General features: G+C 51.8%; 1 protein-coding gene across 11 annotated transcripts in view; it reads right to left on the bottom strand.

Moving 5' to 3' along the window:
- Positions 1-1,055: 1,055 nt before the first annotated feature.
- The window catches only part of MAPK4 (mitogen-activated protein kinase 4), a 172,215-nt gene continuing 165,966 nt past the window's right edge, over positions 1,056-7,304 (bottom strand). For 10 of the 11 annotated variants that reach the window (XM_017025839.3, NM_002747.4, NM_001292039.2 and 7 more), the window contains 2 exons: positions 6,707-6,920; positions 1,056-3,724 (listed from right to left, as the gene is read on the bottom strand). In XM_017025839.3, the coding sequence (XP_016881328.1) occupies positions 3,028-3,724; positions 6,707-6,920 (911 nt within the window). In that variant the 3' untranslated portion in view covers positions 1,056-3,027. The remainder of the gene's footprint in view (positions 3,725-6,706; positions 6,921-7,304) is intronic. The other variant, NM_001292040.2, reaches the window with a different exon arrangement.

Below are 7,304 nucleotides of genomic sequence, written 5' to 3'. Positions count from 1 at the left end.
CTTGAACCTGGGAGGCAGGTTGCACTGAGCTGAGATTGTGCCACTGCACTCCAGCTTGGGCGACAGAGCACGACTCCATCTCAATAAATACATAAATAAAAATAAATAAAATAAAGACAAGATCAGACAAATATATAAATGAATAAGCGTAGTTTTGTTCCAATACAACCACTTGGCCTGGAGGCCATAGTTTGCTGATCCCTATGTTATTCACATAGGGTAGACCTAGGACCCCTCCTAACAGAAGTTTTCATCTTAGAATCAGAGGTGGCTGGATGAGATTGTGAACTATTACCTTTGAGGTGCCCTCTTTCCTCCTTTTTCGGTCCTCCTTCCTCTTTGGTGCTGTTTGCTGTTTGTGCTTCTCAATTCCCTCTCTCCACACTCCATTTCCTACATTCTAGCAGCCCAGGCCTCACATTGGGCTTCAAGTCTTCTTCAATATAAAATTTCAACCAGGTGTGTGGCCTGGCTCTGGCCTCCCTTCACCTGCATCCACTCAGCATGGCCACGCTCAGCAGACACTTTGGAAATAATCTGATAATTGGCTTAATAGGCTGCTCCTCTTGGCTCAGGTGCATTTCAACAGTAGAAAGTTCTTTTAGCCAAAAGACCTGTATTGTTTAAGGGTCAACTGTATTTGTTGAATTACAAATGAAGACTAACAGTTTAATATTACAAAGGGGTCGACTTCAGATGGATGGGATCTCAGGCATCTGTGAGGGGTAGCACGGGTGGGTATTTTTAGGTAGTTGGTTCCCCCCAATCTCATGATGTTGGCACCTTTTGTGACTAGAGGAGAGAACCAGCCCTGGTCAGAAGTTTTGGTGTTAGCGCCAAGATATAGTTTGAAATTCACAATATGGACACCAGGTCTCACCAGATGATTCTGGAATCACCTCCTGATTACCAATCTCTGTAGATTGTCCCCTCCCGAGTCCTTCCCCCACCCCCAAATACAGTGGCCTTCATGGGCACAGGGAGAAGCCAGCTAGGCTCTTAGCACTCTCAAAGACAGGATCAGATAATACATAAATGAATAATACATAAATAAATCTGTGTTCCAATAAAACTTTATTTGGCCTGACCTGATCAAGTTTAATAATGTTTAATAAATTTTTTAAAAACATTAGTAGTTATAACAATTCCTCTGTAATAACAGTTATATATGAACTCCTGGTCAAGGCCAGCAGCTTGTTCCTTTACCAAAAAAGTAAAGCCGCCCTCTGAGGACAAAATGGCACATGAGGAGTGGTGTACATTTCTTTTTCTTAAAGAAAAAACAAAACCCAAACACTTCCTATTTACATATTTTCCATTTAAAAGTTGGTCAGTGTGATTAATTCTGTTTTTAAATATAAGTTTCTAATGTGTTGCAGGTTTCAACGTACAAATTATAGTTTGCTGATTAGATTTAAGGTGCTGTGATGTGAGGGTGAACGCAGCCCAAGACCAACTGGTGGAATCCTCTACCTGGAAACTGGCTGGACTTCCTGTGGGTATCTTTGGGAGTGTTGGGGGAAGAGAAGGAGCTGAACACCAGTGGCAGAAATGGTAGAATGTTCCTGGGGACCAGATAGGGGCTGTCAGTGTCCCCACCCCACGCTTCTGCAGAGGGCCTGTGTCTACACACCATTACCCCATGCTCTGTGGGTGAGCACACAGGTTTGCATGCACCAAACTCACCTTAGCCTACACTATGAGGGGCATTGCTGCTTTGAGTCCCTTCCTTTGTCATGAGGTCTCCATGCTGGTGCCTGACCCCTAAGAGCCCTTGCTGTTGACACCTCTCTTTTCATATCTTCCTACCTTTCTGGATTCCTTGCCCCCAAGGTCACGACGTGCTCTCCAACACATCTCTGTAGGGTCTGCTGTTTGTCAAGGCTAAATGGATGATCAAACTCAGGAAAGTATTGATGAAGGATGTTGGGTCCCATGTGAAACCTTCTCTCCTAACACATTTGCTCTATGGCAGGACCTCACTGCTGTCCTCCAAATGAGCAGTTCATGTAGAGAACATTAGGTCCCGAGGTAGGTCTGGAGAGGCGCTGTGGTTAGGTGGGGGGGCCGGGTGTGGGGTGAAGGGGGAGTGCTGGCAGGGAGGTTGGAGGGATTCTTGGAATTGGTGCCTTCAACCTCACTGGGGTAGGACGCCCAGTGGGGAAAGAGGGCTGTGTCTTTGCGTGTCAGGAAAGTGCATAGGGAGTGCTGAGGGGGTGTGTGCACAGGCCTGGGAGAAGGGCTGATTTTACCCACAGACCCCAGGCTGTTCTGACCTGAAACGAAGATTTCCGACCATGCAGGGGTGAGGCAAATACAGGGGTGCGACAGATGAGAACATTTAAGTACTTGGGGAGCCAGGAAAGTATGCTTGGTGACTAGGAGAAACAAACTGGTTCAGTTTCCAGTTTCAGAATACAAGAAACATTGCTCTGAATAAAAGAACATCGAATGGTAATGGACAGGGAAGAAACATCTCAGACCAAGTTTCTAACAAAAAGCCAGAACGACCCCAGTAGAGGAAGACATTCTATGGTGGACAGACCCTGGCCTGGGGGCCAGGAGACTGGGATTTCAAGCTCGTCCTCACACTAAGCCTGTGATCTTAAGCGAGTGTCTCTGCCTCTCTGGGCCTAATTGCCTTTCCTCAGCTGTCAGTTGAGGCTAGTTGGGCCAGATGGTTTCGGAGCTACCTCTGCAAGATTTCTCGGCATCCTGCCACCCAGGTGGGGCCCGCAGACTGCTGTCTAAAGCCGTTTCTTCCCTGTGCACCACATGTGGTCTCCCCTTTGCTAGGAAAGTGATCAACCCCTAAGCCAGGGTCCTGTTCAAACCCGCTCCCACAGGTTAAAGGCTAGTTATTAAGGCAGTTTAAGAAATGGACATTCCTCTCGCTCCTCGGATCCTTCACGTGTTCTGCCAACCCCAAGGCAGCAGAGAGGGGCGGGAAGGGCGGCCGCCTCCTGCCAGCCCCGGCTTTCTCTGGGGGTCTCCTGCTCTGTGGGGCCTGGAGCGGCCCCTCCGCCCTCACCACCTTTCTTTGGAGAAGGCCTCGGTCTGCACGAGGTCGCCAGGGTGCTCGGGGATGCACGCACCATTGAGGTCGCCCAGTTTATTGTCCGGCAGGTCCTCGGGCTTGGTGCAGAGCTTCAGGGCGCGGGAGATGAACACGTCCAGGTCGAACTGGGGGCTGGCGCCGCCGTCCACCGGGGCCGGGCGGCCGGGGGGCGAGGCAGACAAGCGGCGCTCGGGGTCGTCGGCGGGCGGGCTGGCGTGCTCTGGGCCGCCCTGCGTGCTCTTGACCCACTGCGCGATCTCCAGGAAGAGGCTGGCCGGCTCGTCCTCGCGCGCCCCCGTGTCCGCCAGCCCCGTGGCCGTGGGGGGCGCGCCGGCCGCCTGCTTCCAGTGCGACAGGTCCAGGATGAGCTTGGGCTCCGAGTAGTGGTGCGGCTTGTTGTCGCGCCACAGCAGCTTGTCCAGGTAGGACGGCGACCCCACCTTGTAGTCGCAGGAGCGCCCGTAGTCGGCCTCGAAGGCGCGCTCCATGGACGAGTGCGACTGCTCTAGGAAGCGCTCGGAGCTGCTGTGCGAGTCCTTGCGCGGGTCCACCTGCACGTCCTCAGCCAGTGGCGCCGAACCCGCGCGCGGGTCGCGCTGTACCTCGCTGGCGTCCTGGCACCGGTCAGGCCGCCACTCCAGGTCCGACGACAGGCTCACAGGGTACCTGCAAGGGTACAAACAGAGCGGTGATTGGATGCCCAAGCCAGGTAGCTTCCGGGAGGGAGCCAAGCCCTCTAATCCCTGTTTGCCACTCACACACCTGCCTTCGACCCCCATCCCTCAAGGTGGGAGGGTGATGGACAGGTAATGGCGAGCCTTGGGGGCTCAGCTGGGGACATGGATTGTTCGGCTTAACTCTTGTGTTCTTTTGTACGCATTCGAAACCCTGCAGATATTTCCTGCGCACCTACCATGTGCCAGCACTCACTGTTCCAGACATTACTGAATACAGCAGTGAACAAAACAAACGTCCCTGTCCTCGTGAAACTTTCTAGGGGATCCACCTGTGCAATGCTTCTCAAAAGCTGATAGATGCACGAATCACCTGCGGGTCTTGCTAAAATGCAGATGTTGATTCTGTAGATCTGAGATGGGGCCTGAGATTCTAACAAGCTCCCAGCTGCTCTGATGCTGCTGGGCATTGGACCCACATTTTGAGGAGCAAGGCTCCAGTGAGTGCTTCTCAACCCTGGATCAGATTAGAGTCACATAGGGGAATTAAAAATAAAATAGCATGTCTGCCTCACTGCTTCCCCCCACCAATTCTGACTGAGTAGGTCTAGGGTGGGGACCTGATTAAGCATGTTTTGAAGATCCCCCAGGTGATTCTAAGTACAGCCAGGGCTGAGAACCCCTGCCCTGGTGGATCTGCTTGGGGGCCCCATAGCACCTTGCATTGACGCAGGGCAGGTGGGACCTACAGAAAGATTACAGACACCCTCCAGAGAAGCTGAAGATCTTTGGCATTCTGCCCCGTTCGACTGCTCTGCAGCCATGGAGAGTGAAGTCAGCTAGCCAAGAGCAAATGAAGGGCAGATGGGCAGACAGGCAGGCCATCAGCTCTGGCGGAGCCCTCCCTTCCTTGTGCGGGTGCTCTACCTAGAACCCTGGGGTTGTGGGGCAGGCAGGAGCACAGAGGACATCAGCCTGCAGCCAGCTACTCCCTGAGCAGGCCCAACAGATAGACCAAGGAGAGGCAGATTCGGCTGTGTGGGATAGACCTGGCAGCTGTAGCCCACAGAGTGTGACTGGAGAGGCACAGGAAGGCCTCAGCACTGCCCGCCTCCCAGTGACGCTGCTAGGGCAGGAATTGCTCCTACAGCTGAACCCTGCCTCCTTGATTGAGTGGCCTTGGGCAGAAATTTCCAGGAGGAAGAGTGTGTGAAGACGCTGACCCTTGGCTGCTCTATTCCAAGTGCCAAACATACATTATCTGTAGTCTTCATAGCAACCCTGTGGACTTTGTGTTATCACCCCCGCTTTACAGTTGGGAAACTAGCATTCCAAGAGGGTAAGGAGCTTGCCCACAGCAAGAAGGTCCTTTGTCATCCTCTTCCCTTGGGCAGGTGTGATGGCAAAGGTTGGGAGCACAGGTGAGGTGCACCAGGTTTAGGGGTGGTCAGGGTGGACAGGCAGCAACAAATCCTGTGACAGTTTTTCCTGGCACAACCCTATGCCACAGTCGCAGAAAGTATAGGATGACTCTCCCTGAGCCAATGTTCTTTGCCTCCAGGCTCTCTGGAGGAAGGGGAAGCTGCCGCAGGAACCACAGTCAAGGGCAGGGCTGCCCCAGGGGTGGCAGAAGACAGAGTCTTCATTAATCTCTATTTGTTGGCAATGCTTGAAAACAACAATTGACAACAACAAGCCAGCAAACCTGTCCAAAAATAGCAGCGTCGCCCTGGCCCTCCCTCAGTGCCTCCTTAATCTGAAACCCATCATCTGTCAAATGACTAAAAAGGAGAAATTGCTCATCTGTCACTTATGTAACTAGCTGTCACATTCCCCCGGCAGTGGGACTCCCAGTTAGGCCCCCTCGGAGTCCTAGCTGCTTGAGCCCTCGACTGCTGTTTCTAAACTGAGCAGCTACCAGCACTCCCTCCCAGAATTAGCAGATGGTGATGCCCAAATGTTTAGCTGCCTGATCTAAGAACGTCAGAACAGGAAAAGATCTAAGAGATCATTACGTGCCTAGGCAGAAATTGTTTAAAAATACATCTTCTACCCAACGCTGATTCATTGGTAGTGGCTTCCAGGGACACCTGTTGAGGATTCTGTAGCCAAGCCCAGTTTAGCAGGAAATGGTCCTATAATTGCTTAGCAGCGTCTGACATGGATGCAGATTGCAGAGAGGCCCATCAGGGGTGTGACATGATGCCAGTCTCTTAACCTTGCAGCTGAAGCTTCCTTGTGTGTCAATGGGCAATAATAATGTAGCCCCCGTTAATGGCATTTTTTTTTTTTTGACAGGGTCTCACTCTGCAACCTCAAACTTCTGGGCTCAAGGGATTCCCCAGCCTCAGCCTTCCCAGTGTCTGGGACTACAGCCGTGTGCCACCATGCCTGGCTAATTAAAAAAAAAAATTTGTAGAGATGGGGTCTTGCTTTGTTTCCCAGGCTGGTCTGGAACTCCTGGCCTCAAGCTATCCTCCCACCTTGGCCTCCTAAAGTGCTGGGATTACAGATATGAGCCACCGAACCTGGTTTTTAATGGCATTTTTAAGAGTTACCAACATGAAACATGAGATAGCGTTTTGTAATGGTAATCTCTGCTTTGTTTTTTTGCCTCGCCTTGTTGCAGTTTACTTTTCAAGGGCAAGTTCCCAGGCTGCTAGAAGTGAGCTCCTACCATGGTGTTCACTAAATCCTTGCGGAGCACTGTATTGAACCCCATGTTCAGTAGAGTCATGGTGAGGGAAGCTGGGGGTGTTGCACAAAGGAAGGCCTCTGACCCACACATGCAACTCACACTGGTCATTTACTGGTAGTGTCTGGGCACAAGAGAAAGGCAGGAAGCTAAGCTGGAGAAGTCGTCCAATGAGCTATGCAACTTGGGAGACAGAGGGGAAGGTCACGGAGGATTAGAGGCAAAATAGAGATGGGAGGACAGGGAAATGTGGGCTCTGGAACCCAGGGCTGCGAGCACCTGGAACTGCACGTGTCCCAGTTGGACAGCTGGCTCTGGTTAGCGGCCATCAGCACGATGTCGTCGATCTCATCCTCAATGCGGAAGGGGTGTTGTGAGGTGGGCTCGTCCTCAGGGCACGAGTATGGGCTCATGTAGGGGTGTTGCAGCCCCATCTCAGCTGTTAGGCGATCCATGGGGTTAAAGGTCAGGATCTTCTCCAGAAAGTCGATGGCTGCAGGGAGCAAAGCCGGACATGAAGGTCATTTGTTGCCCTTGTTGAGCTCAGAAGGAGATTCCTCAGCACGGTGACATTCTGTGCTGGTGTCTGTGCTTCTGCATTTGTTAAAAGGTTTTTAGCCATTTTCTTTCTCAAGACCCTTGTCACAATCCAGTGACAAAGGCAAAGCAGATGCTGCCTTCTAGATTTTGTAAATGAATTAAACAGACTCAGAGGATCAAGTGACTTGCTCAAGGTCCAGCCTCAGCCTGGGTTTCTCCAGAGACAGAACCAGAGACAAGGCTTAGGGTTGTAGGTAGTTTATGTGGTGGGGGATCCCAGCAAGCACAGGTGGGGGAGTGAGGGGGAACCAGAACAAGGCACACTCATGACAGGTTA

This window comes from Homo sapiens, chromosome 18 (assembly GCF_000001405.40).
Source record: "Homo sapiens chromosome 18, GRCh38.p14 Primary Assembly".
NCBI lineage: Eukaryota > Metazoa > Chordata > Mammalia > Primates > Hominidae > Homo > Homo sapiens.
This window is presented reverse-complemented; position numbering and strand designations above follow the sequence as displayed.